General features: G+C 51.4%; 1 protein-coding gene across 1 annotated transcript, besides 1 other annotated feature; it reads right to left on the reverse strand.

Annotated features, from left to right (window-relative positions):
• On the reverse strand, positions 8,534-11,523 carry KRT16 (keratin 16). The gene is made up of 8 exons (NM_005557.4): positions 10,914-11,523; positions 10,395-10,477; positions 10,101-10,257; positions 9,825-9,986; positions 9,610-9,735; positions 9,087-9,307; positions 8,946-8,992; positions 8,534-8,785 (listed from the first exon to the last, which is right to left on the reverse strand). The coding sequence occupies exons 1-8, from the start codon at positions 11,442-11,444 to the stop codon at positions 8,691-8,693; spliced, it is 1,422 nt and encodes a 473-aa protein (NP_005548.2). The 5' UTR covers positions 11,445-11,523; the 3' UTR covers positions 8,534-8,690.
• Positions 12,554-13,102: an enhancer, noted in NCBI's record as "H3K4me1 hESC enhancer chr17:39770050-39770598 (GRCh37/hg19 assembly coordinates)". NCBI's record gives its function as "activates a minimal SCP1, AML or CMV promoter by ChIP-STARR-seq in primed H9 embryonic stem cells {active_cell/tissue: H9 hESC(primed)}" and the evidence as "EXISTENCE:reporter gene assay evidence [ECO:0000049][PMID:30033119]".

A 17,603-nucleotide genomic window follows, 5' to 3' on the forward strand; every position in this document is an offset into this window, starting at 1 on the left:
TTTATTTCACATAAGTGAAATCAATATCCTACATGTACATTTCTGCATTCCACATTTCTCTCTCTCCAATCCCTGGAGGAATCCCTCCTTGCCATCCAATAAATAGCTCCAATTTATTGACTATAATGGCTGCTTAATACTCCAGGGTAGCAGTGGACCATTATTTATTCCACCTGTCCACTATCAACTTTTAAAAATGTGTTTGCCACCTTCTGTCACTACAAATAAACAGCAGTAAATATCTTTGCACATATGCCTTTTTATACTGGTCTGTTATTTCTATTAATTTAAAATTAAGTGAAGTCCCTTAAATAATTTGAAAGTCATCTTTGCTGTATAATCACATATAACAAAGCTGGAAAAGAACCTGGTAGAATAAAAGGTCTGGTGACAGAACAATGGATGAGTGTTTTCATTTTCTATATTTCCTTTTGTTTCGTCACACTATTCATATGGTAGATAAAAGCTAGAGACGTATGGGATTTTTTCTGTTGTTTTTTGTTGTTGTTGTTTGAGACAGGGTCTCACTCTGTCACCCAGGCTAGAGTGCAGTGGCACACTCTCGGCTCACTGCAACCTCCACCTCCTTGATTCAAGCGATTCTCCCACCTCAGCCTCCCAAGTAGTGGGGCTATGGGCACGCACCACCACGCCTGTCTAATTTTTGTATTTTTTGGTAGAGATGGAGTTTCACCATGTTGGCCAGACTGCTCTCAAACACCTGACCTGAGGTGATCCTCCCTCCTAGGCCTCCCAAAGTGCTGGGATTACAGGCGTGAGCCACAGCACCAGGCCGACGCATGAGTTTTATGTGTAACAATCCTAACATGGTAGGAGAAAGAGGGACCCTTGCAATCAACAGTGTGTTAACTAGGGGTGAAGTCAGAAATGGCGTCTCCTGGATAGCTGCCACTATTGCTTTAACACCCCTTGATCTGCTCAAAGCCCTTCGGGGGTCTTGGACTGTTGGGGATTCCAGGATGCAGACAGCACATCAGAGGAGGGGCCAGATAAGGAGCTCCACTGCCTCATGCCTCAGTTCTGTAGATGGGGCTCCATCCCTCCAGGGCTCAAGAAGATATTTGCTTTCACATCCATGCCAGCTTGTCAATACCTACCCATGGAGACCTCCCTGTGCCAACACAATGAGAAGCACATGGAACCCAGAGAAGCCTGCCCTCAAGAAATTCTTCTGAGCAAGTTCTGTGGAGTCCTGAAAGAGCAGAGACTTCTAAACCAAACCTCCACGGCCTGACTCCACAAGTCTTTACTGAGTGTCCTTTATGGGCTGGGTACCATCCAGGGGCTGTTGGTAACTAGCAAAACAAAAGTTTCATTACTGTTTATGTTTCGGGGAGCAGACAGAAGGTCTTAAACAACAAGCTACAGCAGTGAAAAGACAAGCACAAGAAATTGCTTATCTCATACACTAGGAGGGACACTGAGCTTATTAGAGCTCTCAGAAACAATGGACCCAAAGAAAGCAGAGCTTTACAAGCATACCACTCATTCATTTACAACAGCAGATGCACTTTATGGGCTGCCATTAATTCTCACTCTAGTCATTGTTTTTGCACCTCATGCAATTATCTAAAACAATATTTGCCGAACTTTGACAGTAAGTCAAGCATAAGGAATCTGAAGGTACCTTCAAATTAGACAGATTTCAAGGAACACTGGGAGTTCTCAACCTTCTCAGCTCAGGTGCCAGGATCTTAGGAAGTGGGAAAGACCAGGCAAGAGCAAAAGGCAGTCTGATTTGGGGCTTGAATCATAGTTTGAGAAATCCAGGCAGCAAGCCATTTCCAGATGGAAATTCTGGTTCCCTTATTGAAGGGAAAACTCATATTTCTGCACAATATTGTCCTTCTGTTTAAAAGGGGCTCATGATTTGTTTCTACAAGATAACAGCAATGAAGAAGAGATAAGTGATTTCTGCTCTCCGGGAGTTTTGCTAAGTGACTGTGAGACCCCAAGAAAGTTTTTTTTTTAATTTTCCTTTAACTACTGTAAACCTGAATTTCTGCATCTGTCAGGTAGAGGCCTTTCGTGATGAGCTTTCCAAGGATCTGCTCCTGGGGGTTAGGCACTCGGAAGATACGGGTACAGACAACTTCTTTAAAATAGCACCCATGCCCAGGCTGGGCATGGTGGCTTACGCCTGTAATCCCAGCACTCTGGGAGGCCAAGGCAGGCAGATCACTTGAGGCCAGGAGTTTGAGACTAGTCTGGCCAACATGGTGAAATCCTGTCTCTACTAAAAATACAAAAAAAAAAAAAAAAAATTAGCTGAGTGTGGTGGCACACACCTGTAGTCCCAGCTACTCAGGAGGCTGAGGTATGAGAATTGCTTGAACCTGGGAAACAAAGGTTGCAGTGAGCTGAGATCGCACCATTGCATTCCAGCCTGGGTGACAGTGAGACTTTGTCTCAAAAAATAAATAAATAAATAAATAAAATAAAATAAAATAGCACCGCATGCCCAGTTGGAGGGTATTCTACATCCTCTGTTCTGACATCTCATTAATGAACAACTCATGAAAGTGTGTGCCAGCCCAGGAGTTGTTTAGTAACCCAGGCCAGGACTATGTCTCTGTGTAAGGGTCCTTCCACAACATCATCTTTAAAAGAATCAGCTGAATCAATTTACCAAAGAGGTTTTTAAAGATAATACTCACAGTTGATGAGCATGTTTTGAAATAGGCACTCCCATTCCCTGCTGGCAAGATATGCAAATTGGCACAATTTCTCTTTAAATCAATTTGGCCATTCAAATCGAGAATCTTAAAACATCTGTATCTTCTCATCTAGTATACATCTAGGAATCTAGCCTAAGGAAATAATCAAAAATATTTGTGGGAGCTGAGGCAGGAGAATCGCTTGAACTCGGGCAGCAGAGGTTGCAGTGAGCCAAGATCATGACATTGCACTATCCAGCCTGGGCGACACAGTGAGACTCTGTCTCAAAAAAAAAAAAAAAAGAATGAAAAATGGTATAGACATTTAGTGTAATTGTTGTTGTAATTATAGTTGGTAAGATATGTTTACTTCATTTTTACTTCATTTATACATATATATGTATAAGTACATAAATATATATGCATAAATGTATTTTATTTATACATATATGCATAAATGTATATATGTATAAATGTGTATATATATGTACACAGTCACGGATTACTTTACAACAGGAACGCATTCTGAGAAATGCATTATTAAATAATTTTGTCATTGTGTGAACACCATACAGTGTACTTACAAAGACCTACATGGTATAACCTACTTCATACCAAGGCTAGATGGTATAGCCTATTGCTCCTAGGCTATAAACTTGAACAGCAGGTTACTGTGCTGAATACTATAGGCAATTGTAACTCAGTGGTTGGTATTTGTGTATCTAAACCTATCTAAACACAGAAAAAGTACAGTAAAAATGTAGTATTATAATCTTATGGGACCACTCGTGTGTATGTGTGTGTATATATATATATATATATATATATATATATATATATATACCATCCATCACTGAAAAACAACATGTTGTTATATGGTGCATGAGTGTATATATAGAGAGACAGAGAGAAAAACTTGTAAAAATACTATCAGTGGTTACCTTTGGTATCGAGATTTGGGGTTCGCTCTGAGTCATAGGCTCACCCTAGGGCTTGGGAGACAGGGTGACCAGAAAAAGGGAAACACATTCGCTAAACTACCAATAATGCCAACAATGATTGTGCATTATAGAGTAATGAATCAGGCTCAGCAGCCTTGAAAGATGAATATGGTTTTGTCATGTAAAGCAGAGACTTCAGATTAAACTCAGGTTAAACTTGCAGTTTATCTTCACCTCCTAAACACTACTAAAATTACTATAAATGGATAAAACCCATGGGGTCAAAGAGATCAGGAAACTAGATTATAGCAATCAAGTTTTGGAATCTGGAAAACAAAGACAAATAAAGCCCAGCGCTTGCCCAGAGAGAAGCCAAGAGGCAAAGCATATTTACACTCTGGAACTTTTTAACTCTGAATTTTTAAGAACTCTGGAAACTCTCTGGAATAGGGGGCACCAGGTACCTCTGACAGTGAGGAACAAGTGAACTAGAAATGGGAGGGTGAGCTAGAGATCTGTATAAAAAGCAGAGAGGCGGCCGGGCACGGTGGCTCATGCCTATAATCCCAGCACTTTGGGAGACCGAGGCAGGTGGATCACGAGGTCGGGAGATTGAGGCCATCCTGGCTAACACGGTGAAACCCCGTCTCTACTAAAAATACAAAAAATTAGCCAGGTGTGGCGGTGGGCACCTGTAGTCCCAGCTACTCAGGAGATTGAGGCAGGAGAATGGTGTGAACCCGAGAGGCGGAGCTTGCAGTGAGCCGAGATGGTGCTACTGCACTCCAGCCTGGGGGACAGAGCGAGACACCATCTCGGAAAAAAAAAAAAAGCAGAGAGGCCCCTGTAGCTCCTCTCTCCCCTCCTTGTCTGATCCCAACCACTCCACGATTACTCCAGGAGAAACTAGATGTTTATGCTGGAGAATTTCCCCAGAGGGACTCTGAATCCTGAGACACCAAGAAGGGCCAATAAACTATAATCAATTAGTAACAGAGTAGCTGAGACTGAGACCTTCTCTGCCCCCTTCCCGCACTCAGCTTCCAGAAAGCTGGTAGCTTTTACAATCCAGACAGAAAATTAGAGGTATTCCTTCTGGGGAAGACCCTACCCAAGAAAAGTCCTACAGATAACTGTTCCCCATTGAAACGCTTATTCTCCACCAGATTACTCTATACTGAGACCTATCAGTGGCAAGCTCCCATGCTATCCACACACATATACACATATTCCAATTAGTTTCTCAGTGACTTACTCTTAAATATGAACGACTACCAAGGACCACTAGACATCTGAGAAAAGCCTCTGGCATGAAAGATGGAGGCAAGACAAACAGCAAGAAAGGAACTGAGGAAACTGAGCCGATGACAGAAATAGAAGCATTGCTGGAGCCAGGACTAATAGGCTCAAAGAGATAGAGAAACTATTGCATCTTGAAACAAGAACAAGAGACTGTTGAAAAAACATGCAGAGCTATGAGATATGAAAAATATAAAAGACTGCTGTTGTTTTTAAGACAGGATCTCACTCTGTTGCCCAGGCTAGAATGCGATGGTGTGATCTCAGCTCACTGCAGCCTCGACTTCCCAGTCTCAAGTGATCCGCCCACCTCAGATTCCCTAGCAGCTGGGACTACAGGCACAAGCCACCACATCCAGCTAATTTTTGTATGTTTTGTAGAGACAGGGTCTCACTATGTTGCCCAGGCTGGTCTCGAACTCCTGGGCTCAAGCAATCCAACCACCTTGGCCTCCAAAACTGCTGGGATTACAGGCATGAGTTGCTGTGCCCGGCCAAATACAGCAGATTTTTTAAAACTCTGAATAATGGAGTTAGAGGTCAAAGTTAAAGAATTTCTCAGAAAACAGCAACAACAACAACAAAGAAAAGACAAGATGGAAAATAAAACAGAATACCCAGGAAAAAGAGCCATTTCAGAAAGAGAGAAAATGGAGGGAGGAAATCATGAAACACGAAAATTTGCCAGAATTGAACAACATGAGCTCCCACATTAGAAGTTTCTGCTAGAGTCCAGCCGGTGGATGAAGTTACAGCTGCATCAATTCAACACATGGTATTTCAGCCTGCTGGAGAGAAAGAGAAGAACTGAAAAGCTTCTAGGGAGGAGAGTGGGAACAGGATAATAAGAAATGATCTCGAGTCAACGTGGCATAAGACTTCTCAACAGCAACACCAGAAGCCAAGAAACAGTGAAACTGTACCTTCAGACGCTGAGTGCAAATGATTTCCAAGCTAGAATTCTATACCCAGCCAAACTATCAGTCAAGAGTGAAGATAAACTGAAGATCTTTTTGACACAAATGGTCTCAAAAAATTTAACCCCGATAACTCCCTTTCCAGGAAACTACTTGAGGATGTGCTTCACTAAAACAAAGGGAAAAATAAAAACAGGAAGGAGGAAGACATTGGATCCAGAAAACAAGGAATGCAACACAGGAAAAAGAAGGAATTTCAGGATGATGGTGAAGAGAGATTCCAGGATCACAGCTGAGCAGAAGACCCAGACAGCACCCAGAACAGACAAGAGCAGGACAGAAGGCCCTAGGAGACACATCTTCATGAGGATGAAATTGATAGAACACCCAGGGTTCTAAAATACTGAGGAGATTTATACTTCCAGCAGTGAATCAGGAAACAAATTAATGATCAATACATAGAAAGTTTAGGCAAATTGAAAAGGAGATATTTATTCCAAGGAAATTTAATATAGCATAAAATGTAACATAGTATAATATATGGTTTGACTATGAATAACATTTAAATAGTCTTAATAATGTAAACATTTATCTAACAAAAATATGAATATATTGAGAAGGTGGGAAGAAGATATTTAAAAAAGAAGTGGGCAGGCACAATGCTGTATAACAGATCTACATCCTCATCCTTCACAGCCAGAAGTCAAGCGATTAAAAACTGAAACACAAAAATCAAACAGTAACAAGGTAAAGCCTGTTATTTAGAAGTAAGGAGACAAATCCCAAAAGAAACAGCTGAAGTTGAAAGGGGGAGGCGGGAACAGAGCTGTGATATCCAGTCTGGGGATGGCTTTTTCATTAAAAAAAAAAAAAAGAAGAAAGAAAGTCTTATTCACAATAGCAAAGACTTGGAACCAACCCAAATGTCCATCAATGATAGACTGGATTAAGAAAATGTGGCACATATACACATTGGAATACTATGCAGCCATAAAAAAGGGTGAGTTCATGTCCTTTGCAGGGACATGGATGAAGCTGGAAACCATCATTCTAAGCAAACTATCACAAGGACAGAAACCCAAACATCACATGTTCTCACTCATAGGTGGGAGTTGAACAATGAGAACACATGGGCACAGGGTGGGGAACATCACACATCGGGGCCTGTCGGGGGTGGGGGGCTGTGGGGGGATAGCATTAGGAGAAATACCTAATGTAAATGATGAGTTGATGGGTGCAGCAAACCAACATGGCACTTGTATACCTATGTAACAAACCTGCACATTGTGCACATGTACCCTAGAACTTAAAGAATAAAAAAAAAAAAAAAAAAAGTCTTGGCTGGGCGCCATGGCTCACGCCTGTAATCCCAACACTTTGGGAGGCCAAGACAGGCAGATCACGAGGTCAGGAGATCGAGACCATCCTGGCTAATAAGGTGAAACCCTGTCTCTACTAAAAATACAAAAAACAATTAGCCAGGCATGGTGGCAGGTGACTGTAGTCTCAGCTACTCAGGAGGCTGAGGCAGAAGAATGGCATGAACCCTTGAGGTGAAGCTTGCAGTGAACCGAGATCACGCCACTGCACTCCAGCCTGGGCGACAGAGCAAGACTCCGTCTAAAAAAAAAAAAGTCTTATGATGTTGTACATACATAACATTTTTTTAATTTAAATAGTTAAAACATGGAAGGCATCCAGGAAGAAGGAACGGCAACTGAGAGGTATGGGCCATATCTCAGTCAGGTAGGGGTGACTCAGGGGTTTGGAGCTGGGAGGGGCAGGAGGACACCAAGCTGAGTTGAGACTGAAGGCTGAGTGCTGCAGGGGAATGGGATCCATCGCAGGCTGTTAAGCAGGGGGGTCCTGATCTCACCCTTGTTCTTGATCTTGACCACATTCTGGTGGAAATCATTCAGTGGAAATTTAATGTGGATGAGATTGACTCTCAAAGGGGACCCAGTTAGGCTGTGCCCAGGTCTAGGGAGAGAGGAAGAAGATCTAAACATGGCAATGGCCATGGGGCAGCAGGTGTTTCCTAGGGTGCTCATCAGCACGCAATTCACCAGCTGATGGAAATGAGGAAGGAGGAGTTGATGGGGTGTGAGGAGAAGCAGGCTGGGAGAAGGAGGATTTCAGGTCTGACGAGGACACTGTTCTTAAGGAAGAAAGAACTCCCTTCCACCCTCCAGCGTAGAAACTGTGTGCAGATGTGGGAGAGCCCATGGGTAGAGTTAAGATTCAAGCATGGGAGTCTTTGGGTTAAAATACCTAAAAAGGTAGAGTGGTGTTAAAAGAAAGGCATGGACTTTGCAGACAGACAGAACTGAGTTTGAGCTCCAGCCGTGCCACTTACTATCTGCATGATTTTATGCAACTTACTGAAACTCTCTGAATTCTGGGGGTTGTCAATTCCAAAATGGGCCTGACCATACCCACCTCACAGGGTTGCAAGGAAAATATCATAAATAACCTCTGTAGAATGCCTCCATGGTGTCAGTCAACACGTGTGGACACTCCCCCATCCTGTGTCCCACCTCCCACTTCCATAGAGCATGGAGGTCTTCCAGGAAGACCCTTCAAGATCTTCTGAGATTTGTCCCATTTCCCACATCTCTCAGGCTGTGAGGCTCCAGAAGGTTTCTGGAAAGCACCTGCAACTCCCCTCCCATCAGTTCAAGAACAGAGATCACACAGGTTTGCATCAACCAGAAAGTCAGCTTTATTAGCCCACCACCAGCAGAGGAGCAGGGGAGATAGCTGGGAACTGCGCCAGGAGAGCAGGGTCCTGACCCGGGCCTTCAGGAGGTGAGGCCAGCTGGTGGGCAGGAGGCTGTGGTAGAGGCAGCTCAGTTCTAGGAGCTCTGGCCCTGGCTGAAGCTGGATGAGCTCTGCTCCTTGAGGATGGGCCGGGTCTGACGGCTCGAAGAGGACGAGGAGGAGGTGAAGACTGTGGGAGAGAGAAGAGGAGGTGAGAAGGGGTCTGAGAGCTAAGCTGACTCCAGGGCAGGGAGAAGGGAGGGCTGGGAGCTCTGAGGAGAAGGGCCCAGCCCCCACTCCATGGAAACAGGCAGAGGGGCTGCAGTGCCGGGGAGCCTCAGAAGCCTTACCCTCGCGGGAAGAATAGGATTGGCCAGATGCTTGCTGGGAGGAAAGGCTGTGGGAGAGAAAAAGCAGGGCAGTCAGTTGTGCTGAGAGCAGCAGGGGGGCTAAAGGGTCTGGGAGGCAGAACTGAGGGGCCTGGGACTCACTGGGCATCCTCGCCCTCCAGCAGGCGGCGGTAGGTGGCAATCTCCTGCTCCAGCCGCGTCTTCACATCCAGCAAGATCTGGTACTCCTGGCTCTGCTGCTCCATCTCACAGCGTAGCTGGGCCAGCTGCTCCTCCACACTGCCAATCAGTCCCTGGATCTGGGACAGCTGCATGCAGTAGCGGCCTTTGGTCTCCTCCAGGCTGTTCTCCAGGGATGCTTTCTGCAAGTGAGAGAGAGAAAAAGAGTCCATGGAGGTGGTCACTCCTGTTCCTCCAGGTCTCTGGGCATGTTTTTTGAGAGATGCCTGGATTTTGATCCCAGTTGGGGTACTGATGGGCCAGACAATATGGAGAAAAGCTAGCCCACTATTCTAGGGCTTAGTTTCTCTATCTATATAACGGTCCCATGAGTCCCCTGGTCCCATCCTGAGAAAAGAAAGGTGGAACTAGACTGTGGCTTTTTGAGGGGGTGGTGGCCATTACTGGTGACTTGGGGGCTGCTGCTGTGCTGGGTCCTTCATACCATGCTGAGCTGGGACTGCAGCTCAATCTCCAGGCCCTGGAGCACCCTCCGGAGCTCCGTCACCTCACTGCGGCTGCTCTGTACCAGTTCGCTGTTGGAGGCCACTTCTTTGTTCAGCTCCTCGGTCTGAGGCAGGAAAGCAGAGTGAAAGGTGAGGCTCTCCCAAAGCCCCCAGCTGGGAAGTGCTGCAGGCTCACTGCGGGCCCGAGCCCCACCTTGCTCAGGAACCAGGTCTCAGCGTCTCTGCGGTTTTTCTCTGCCATCTGCTCGTACTGGTCACGCATCTCATTCAGGATGCGGCTCAGGTCCACGCCAGGTGCAGCATCCATCTCCACGTTCACATCTCCGCCGGTCTGACCTCTCAGAGCAAGCATCTCCTGGGAAGGGATGGCAGGAGGCGGTCAGTTCAGCAGACTTCTCTCCTGGCCCTGGGTGCATCTGGCAACCCCACCAAACCAGCCTCCCACCCCGGAAGCCAGCAGCGACCGTACCTCCTCGTGGTTCTTCCTCAGGTAGGCCAGCTCCTCCTTCAGGCCTTCGATCTGCATCTCCAGGTCAGTCCTGGCCAGGGTCAGCTCATCCAACACCCGGCGCAGGCCATTGACGTCGGCCTCCACAGTCTGCCGCAGGGCCAGTTCATGCTCATACCTGGCAGGACAGAGGTCAGGTCCTCAGGCTGCAGCCCTGAGGATTCTGAGGCTCGGGGTCTGCTGGCCCTGCTGGGTGGACCGCCCCACTCTTTGTCCCTTGCCCTCTGCCCCCAGCCCACCATGCTGGCTGCTCACTTGGTCCTGAAGTCATCGGCTGCCAGCCTGGCATTGTCAATCTGCAAAATGGGCTGCGCATTCTCAATGGTGGCCGCAATGATCTGGAGTGGGGATGGAGGACAGGAGCCCTGGTCAGCCAAGGACCTTACTACTTGAGCATGAAAGGCAGAAAGGGGCAAAAGGAACCGCCCCAAATCTGGAAGTCTTCTGGCTGGCAGGGCTGGCATGCCTTCTCCACCAGCTCAGGCTACGTAGGGATGCACTCCATCCCGATCACCCCCTTCCTGGGCCCAAGGCAGGGAAGCTGAACTTGCAGCTGAACCCTTGAAGGAAATAAGAGATTTAGGGTAACAGCCCCAGTCCGGGCACAGAGATACTGAAAAGGGACCCTCTGCTACCACTTCCCTGGGTGATCCTGGCCACTCCCCAAAGGTGCCCAGTCTCCCTGTTTGTAAAGTGTAATTGCTAAAAAGAGGTATCCCAAGGGCCACTGTAGCCCCAGCCTCTCTCAGTGCTCCATACACCAAAGTCACCCACCTTGTTCCTCAGGTCCTCGATGGTCTTGAAGTAGGGACTGTAGTCTTTGATCTCACTGGGCCGCTGCCTCTGGTACCAGTCACGGATCTTCACTTCCAGGTCGGCGTTGGCCTCCTCCAGAGCACGCACCTTGTCCAGGTAGGAGGCCAGGCGGTCATTGAGGTTCTGCATGGTCACCTTCTCACTGCCCACCAGAAGCCCATCACCACCAGCAAAACCACCACCAAAGCCAGCACCCAAGCCACCACCGAAGCCAGCACCAAGGCCACCACCATATCCTCCCCCGAAGCCACTACCAAAGCTGCTGCTGCTGCTGAAGCCACCGCCATAGCCGCCCCCCAGCCCGCAGGCTCCCCCAGAGGAGAAGCGAGAGGAGACAGACAGGCCGCCCCCGTAGGTGCTGGGGGCACGGCAGGACCCTCCGGCCAGGACGGAGGAGATGCGGCTGGAGCCGCCCCCGATGCCGCCTCCGATGCCGCAGGAGCCCTTCATGGAGCTGGAGGAGGTGAACTGGCGGCTGCAGGTGGTCATGGTGCCAAGGAGGGAGGTGAGCGAGTGAGCAGTTGGCTGAAAGAAGGAAAGGTGCTCAGGAAGGCTGAGAGCGTGCTGTGGCTGCCTCCAACCCCAGAGACCTTTATATGCAGCTGGGGAAGGCGGGGCCCTCCTAACTGCTGACTCCAGGTTCCCCTCTGGATTTCATCACTCCCGGTCCCGTCCAACTCCTCACTCTGGATTATTCAGCCCAGGATCAACTCTGCTGTGTGCCGGCTCAGAGTTCCCACCCAGCTTTGGGGGTGTGGGGCCGAGAGAAAAACACAGAAATGCGAGTTCGGTGGTGACTCAGGCTAGGCGGTGGGGAATCAGGCTCCCTTTCCTGGAGCCCTCGGGGCCAGTCGGGCCTTGGCACAGGTGGCTTTGTGGCAACTGCGTCCCCAGGCAGTGAGTCAGCCCTTCAGAAGAACTCCCTGCCCCACAGTGACAGCCTTGGCTGAAAGAGAGCTCAGTGATGCCATCCTGGGCTGTCTTGGGGAGCAGTTGTGGGGATCCCACATGTCCCACTCTGGGCAGGGGCAGAGTTCCTGTCTTCACTCTGCTTGCTGTGTGGCCTGAGGCTCCCCACCTCCCACCTCTGGGCCTGTTTCCCCTCAGTGACCAGGCTGGACTGGGTGACTGCAGAGTCCCTTCTGTTCTAAAAATCCTATAACTCTCTTTCCCCTCTTGGATCTAATTCCAGTTCCAGAGGCTGCCTTGAGCCCCCGGGATCTCCAGAAGTGTGTGCACCATACAAACAGCACTGGCCATGGAGCTAGACAGGCGGCACTGAGTCCCTGCTCTGCCCTTACCAACTGTACAGCACAGGCTGGTCCTATAGCCCCTTGGTCCTCAGTTTTCTCATCTGTAAAAGGGGATGACACACCACTAGCCACAAAGAAACATGCGCGAAGGACCCCACCGGCCCTTCCCCGAGGGCCAGCCCTGCCCCTCAGCCTCCCCATCCTGCCCCTCCAGCCACCTGCTCCTCACACTCACCTCTACACACTGGCACCATCCCGCACCCCTAAGCAGGGCCCTGCGCCCCCCACACTCCCAGCTGAAGAACACCACAGCCCCACACCTAGCTCTGCCACTCCTCTACCGCCCTCTCCTAATCACAGGCACCCCACCTGCAGGCTGGTGGGAGGGAGCCCCATCCTGCCACTACAGCCAGGTATGACCCCTGACCCCACCTGGGCCTCAGAGTCCCCCCCTACCCTGTAGAAACAGGACTAGCCGGGGATCCGTTCCCAGCAGTTCTCTCTCCTGTGTCCACAGATCCCAGGCTAGGCCTGGCAGCTCCATTCATCCAGCTGAGCTGGGGGAGAGCACTGGTTATGGGCCCACTCAGGCATGCATGGAGAGCCCAGTGTGTGCCATACAGTTCTGTGAGCGTAGAGATTCACTCAAAGTCACTCTGCTTTAAGCTGCAGAGCTGCAACTAGAACCCAGAACTCTGGCCCTCTCCAGGCTCCCACCATGCCTGCAGGCGGGGCCAGTATACCCAACTCTCACCCACCTCCCCACGATCACTGGCAGGAGGTCTGCCCATGGTGGGCATGGCCTTGGCCTGAGAGCCTGGTCCAGCACCGAGGACTGGAGGGAGGATGGAGGGGTCTGGGCACCAAGACGGGGCCTCCTCAGGGTGCTGTGGGGCATCCCTCGGTGCTGGCCACTGGCCTTGCTCTGCAGTGTCTCTGTTGAGGTGAGGAGCCCAGAGACAGCCTGCTTCTGCCTGAGCTCCACTGGGGCAGGCAATTCCTTGTCTCAGCAGAACCAGGGTTTTGTCACTGCTACATCTCCCCTGGTCATTCATCCCAGAGGTAAGAGCAGAACGGATGCACATCCCTTCAGAGTCAAACCTGGGAGAGGGAACCTGACACTCCTCACCCCTACCCCAAAAAGGGGCAAAGGGGACCCCGGAATCTTGGACAAAAACCTCAGTGTTCAGGTGTCAGGTTGGGCCTGGAGTTCTGGTCCATCCACAGACCCATCACCCTCAGAACTGAAAATGGTCTTCAAGGTCACCAAAGGCTATTAATACCCCAACTGGAGAGAGCGAAAGCCTTATCCAGGTTAAGCAGCACAAAAGTGAGAGAGCAGAGACTCGAGCCAGCTCTAACTCCCAAGCCAGGATTCACACCGACTCTCGTAGTAGAGTCTCTGAGAACTCTTCACTCTCTGCCCCCATCGTGTGTGCATGCACACACACCCCTTTCTCATTGGCTCACTGCCCCCCACCAAGTTCCCCATTCCAGGAGGTGTCAGGGCGGGATTATACACAAGCCCAGCACTGCAGACCTGGGGATCTGCATGGGCTGAGAAGCTGCAGGAAGTTGCTGACCAACGCGCCAAACTGCTCAGCCAACTCCATAGATCACGCACCTGCTGTGTGTACAGCTCTCGGGGGCTGGGGGTGAAGAGGGAGATGATGACATAGTCTCTGACCTTAGAAGAACTTATCATTTGACCCTGGAGGGAAAACTAATGCTGGAAAATACAGAACCTGGCTAGAAACCCTGGGGTGCTGGGCTTGCCTGCCATGCCCACACCACAGGAGGCAGCTGGGGTAGGCATTGCCCCGCTGAGCCTCAGCAGTAGAGGAGGGGGCTGCCCTCCTGGCCTTGATCCCTGAAAGGGTCCTAGCAGAGAGAGGCACCAGCAGGGCCTCAGAGGATCTGAGTTGACAGAGGAGGAGGAGGAGGCGTTTCCTGTGCACCAGTGATGCACACCTGCCCCAAGGTGGCCAAGAGCCAGGACCACTAAGCCTGGTGAGCACAGAGAAGCCCAGTGGGCATCCTCCAGGCAGAGGATTCCTCCCCACACCCTGCCTCCTTCCTCCCTCCTTCGTACTGCCCATGTCAAGCATGAGGCATGAGATCATGGCATACCTGAGGCAGCCGGGAAACACCATTGGCCAATGCCACGCCTTGACTTGCAGTGATTCTCCAACCAGACAGATCGTCAGAGTCCCCATGAAGATTTGCAGCCCTGCTCCAACTCCCGCATCAGCACCGCTCAGGACAAGCCTGCTGGTGGGGCTGTTTTACAAGCTCCCCAGCCAACTCAGACTGGGAAGGCAGGAGGCAGCTTGGGGGCTAAGGAGGGGGGCAGAGAAGCTGAGGGGAGAGAGGGGGCTGCTGCAGGGCCCCCAGCCTCGGGTGGACAAGCCAGAGCCACAGGCTTCAGGGCAGGAGGAAGGAAAAGTAGAGCCCCACTGAGCCAGGACAGAGCAGCCTAGAATCGGGGCAAGCAGGGGCGAAATCTTGGGCAGGACATTCAGCCTCTCTGAGCCTCAGTTTCCTTCTCTGGGAAATGGGAATAACAGCCTTGCCTCACAGGCATATTAGGGGATTCGAGGCCAAATAAATAAAGCACCTGGAAAAGGCTGGTGGCTAGCGTTATGTTTATGAGCAGGTGTTTATAAAGTGCCTACTATGTGCCTGGCACTGTGCTGGGCACTCAGACTCAAAGAACAAGACAGAGAAGCCCTGGAGACACAGTCTTCTGGGGGAGAAGGTGGTAAAGACAATCCCAATACACTAATGTCAGGCCACGATGGGGTACTGGGGCCCTGCAGAGAAACAGAGAGAGCAGGGTCCCTGGGGGAGAACAAATGTCCAGGCCCAGGCTCTGCCCCTGTGACGGCTCCCGGGATCTGGGGAAATCTGTGAGTGCCAGGCCCACCTCTGGGGCTCCTATCCCCTCCTGCATGTTTGATGCCCCCCTTCTGAAGGTGGGGCTGTCATAGCCCTTCACAATCCAACCACAGATCTGCAGCTTCTGCCTTGATGATGGGGTGAAACATTCTGTGCATTGGGCAGGGTGGGTGTGGACGAACTGTGAGTCCCTCCATGAGTCCCATAGCTGGGTCTCCAGTCCAGCCCAGGCACATGTCCTCAGCAGCCTGGGCCCACTTGGGGTGCCTGTTCTGCACAAACAAGGAGCCCGGACTCCTGTGTGAGTCTCAGGAAACCCACAAGAGGGGCTCCCATTGCCCCCACCCCAGGAATGTGAGCAGGAAGCTGGTGCCTCCAGGGAAGGCTGCGGACCCCAGGGGGTTGTGGGAGAAAGAGTGGGCCTCTCTCAGGGATGTTTCTTCAAATGGTCACTACAGCTCAGGGTGAGGACGGGCCTCTGTCCAGCTCAGTTATCCCCTCAGCTCTGTGCATGGGGGGAGACCTGCCTGGCTCTGTTCCCTCTGTTCCCCTCATCTCCCCAAAACCTGGGTTGCCACAAGAGACCCACACTGCATAAAGGCTGAGGGACTGTTTTCAGTCCCTCAGGTCCCCTCGGGGCAGGCACTATCTCTTGGGGTCAGGACCGGTGTCTCCTCCTTCCCCTGGCAGGATGTCCTGCAGGGAGATGGATGTAGTGGGGGACACTCATCTCCCCCTGGACATGCTACCAGGTCAGCCCCTGCAAGGGGGATCCAGAGGTAGGCTACCACTGGCATGGACCTGGCCTGAGAATCATATGTGTGTGTCCATCACTCAAGACCAGGTGTGGCAGCTCCAAGGGCAACCACAGATCTGCAGCTTCTGCCTTGATGACAGGGTGGAACATTCTGTGCAGTGGGCAGGGAGTGTGTGGATGAACTGTGAGTCCCTCCATGAGTCCCATAGCTGGGTCCCCAGTCCACCCCAGGCACATGTCCCCAGCAGCCTGGGCCCACTTGGGGTGCCTGGACAGACAAAGCCGCTCAAGTCTCCCCACCATCCCCTGGCTCAGCTGTCTGGGCACACCGGGGGGCTCCCCCATTCTGGCATCCTGAGCCCCCCACCCACTCACTTTGTGGAGAAGGGTTTCTTCCCCAGCAGAGGGGCACAGTCTGGGGCCGTCTCTGGTCCTCCCCACACTCTGACCCCTCCTCACTTGTCCCATCAGTAATTGTGGACCCCAGGATCTACAGAGGGGAGAGAGAGCCCTGCCTGGAACCTGAGGTGGGGCAGGAGGTGGGGCTGGGCTCCTCTTCCCGGCACGGAAGCGGGGCCCACTCCCCTCCCGTGCCTGTCTCCACTATTGACCCCCTAGGCTCCGGGACAAGGGCTGAGTCACTGCTCCTTGGAGCCTCAGTGTCCCCATCCACACAACGAGGTGCCTTCCCCCAGGCCCTCCCTGCTTCCTGGGACTATTCAGATAAACGAAGTCACCCTCCGGAATGAGCCATCTGCAGCCCAGGGCTGGTTCTTCTGGTTGTGGCGGGATGTGTGGTGGGGGCCTGGTGCAAACAGTGCCTCCCTCCTGCCCTCCATGGCGCCACATTTGCTGCCAGACAACAGGGAGACGTCAGCCTCTGATGGAGCAGAGCCTGCCCTTGCTTTCAGTCGTGCAGATGCCGCTGCAGGTGCGAGTCCCCGACTCCAGGCAGCCATCTCCCCTGCAGAGAGAAACTCTCTCCCAGGATGTCTTAGCTCCAAGGTCCAGGGAGGGCCTGTGACCAGCCCAAAGTCACCCATACCCCAGTGGTCAGTACCCACCCCCATCCCTGGCCTCTGCCAGTCCCAAACCCCCACCAACCCAGGCTCAGAGGGCTCTGGTCACTCCCATTTTCCTCAGGCCTGGGCCCAACCCCCAGCCTCCAGGCACGAGGAGAGAGAGGGTGTTTGGGGGCCCTGGTCTGATTCCGCAGCAGCAGAGACACCGCAGGTCCAGCAGTGATGAGGTGGAGGCAACCTCCTCCTCCCACGAACCCCCTGCTTGAAGAAAACCAGGAAAGCAGGCCAACCCGCCTGGCAGTTTCCGGATTTACTAGAAGGAAGATTTCCAGGTGTCAGGCTCATCTCCCACAGACTGTTCCCCACAGCCACGTTTGCTGCCACCAGCAAGAGCTGGGGTTGGTCAGCTCAGAGGGTGCCGGGAGTGGCTGGAGCAGGACTGTTCCTTCTCATTTTCCCAGGAGGCAGTTTCTACCCTCCCTCACGCCACCCCTGTCCCTAGTGGGGAACCAAAGAGGACCCAGACTGCCAGGGAGAGTGGCACTGCTCCCTGGGCACAGCCACCCCATCTGCAGTGCCCCCCCACTCCACCCCGTCCCCATCCCGAGCAACAGCTGACCATGTGAGGAAGCATCCCTGAGAGAGGCCCCACCCTTTCTCCCACACCTGCCTGGGGTCCGTAGCCTTCCCTGAAAACGCCAGCCTCCCACTCACATTC

This window comes from Homo sapiens, chromosome 17, assembly GCF_000001405.40.
Source record: "Homo sapiens chromosome 17, GRCh38.p14 Primary Assembly".
NCBI lineage: Eukaryota > Metazoa > Chordata > Mammalia > Primates > Hominidae > Homo > Homo sapiens.

Excerpts from the sequence above, each read along its gene's own strand:
- KRT16 (NM_005557.4), bottom strand. The coding sequence starts at position 11,444 with ATGACCACCTGCAGCCGCCAGTTCACCTCCTCCAGCTCCATGAAGGGC. Across the intron at positions 10,478-10,913 it reads TCGAGGACCTGAGGAACAAG|ATCATTGCGGCCACCATTGA; the intron begins GTGGGTGACTTT and ends TCCCCACTCCAG. Across the intron at positions 9,736-9,824 it reads AGACCTGGTTCCTGAGCAAG|ACCGAGGAGCTGAACAAAGA; the intron begins GTGGGGCTCGGG and ends TTCCTGCCTCAG.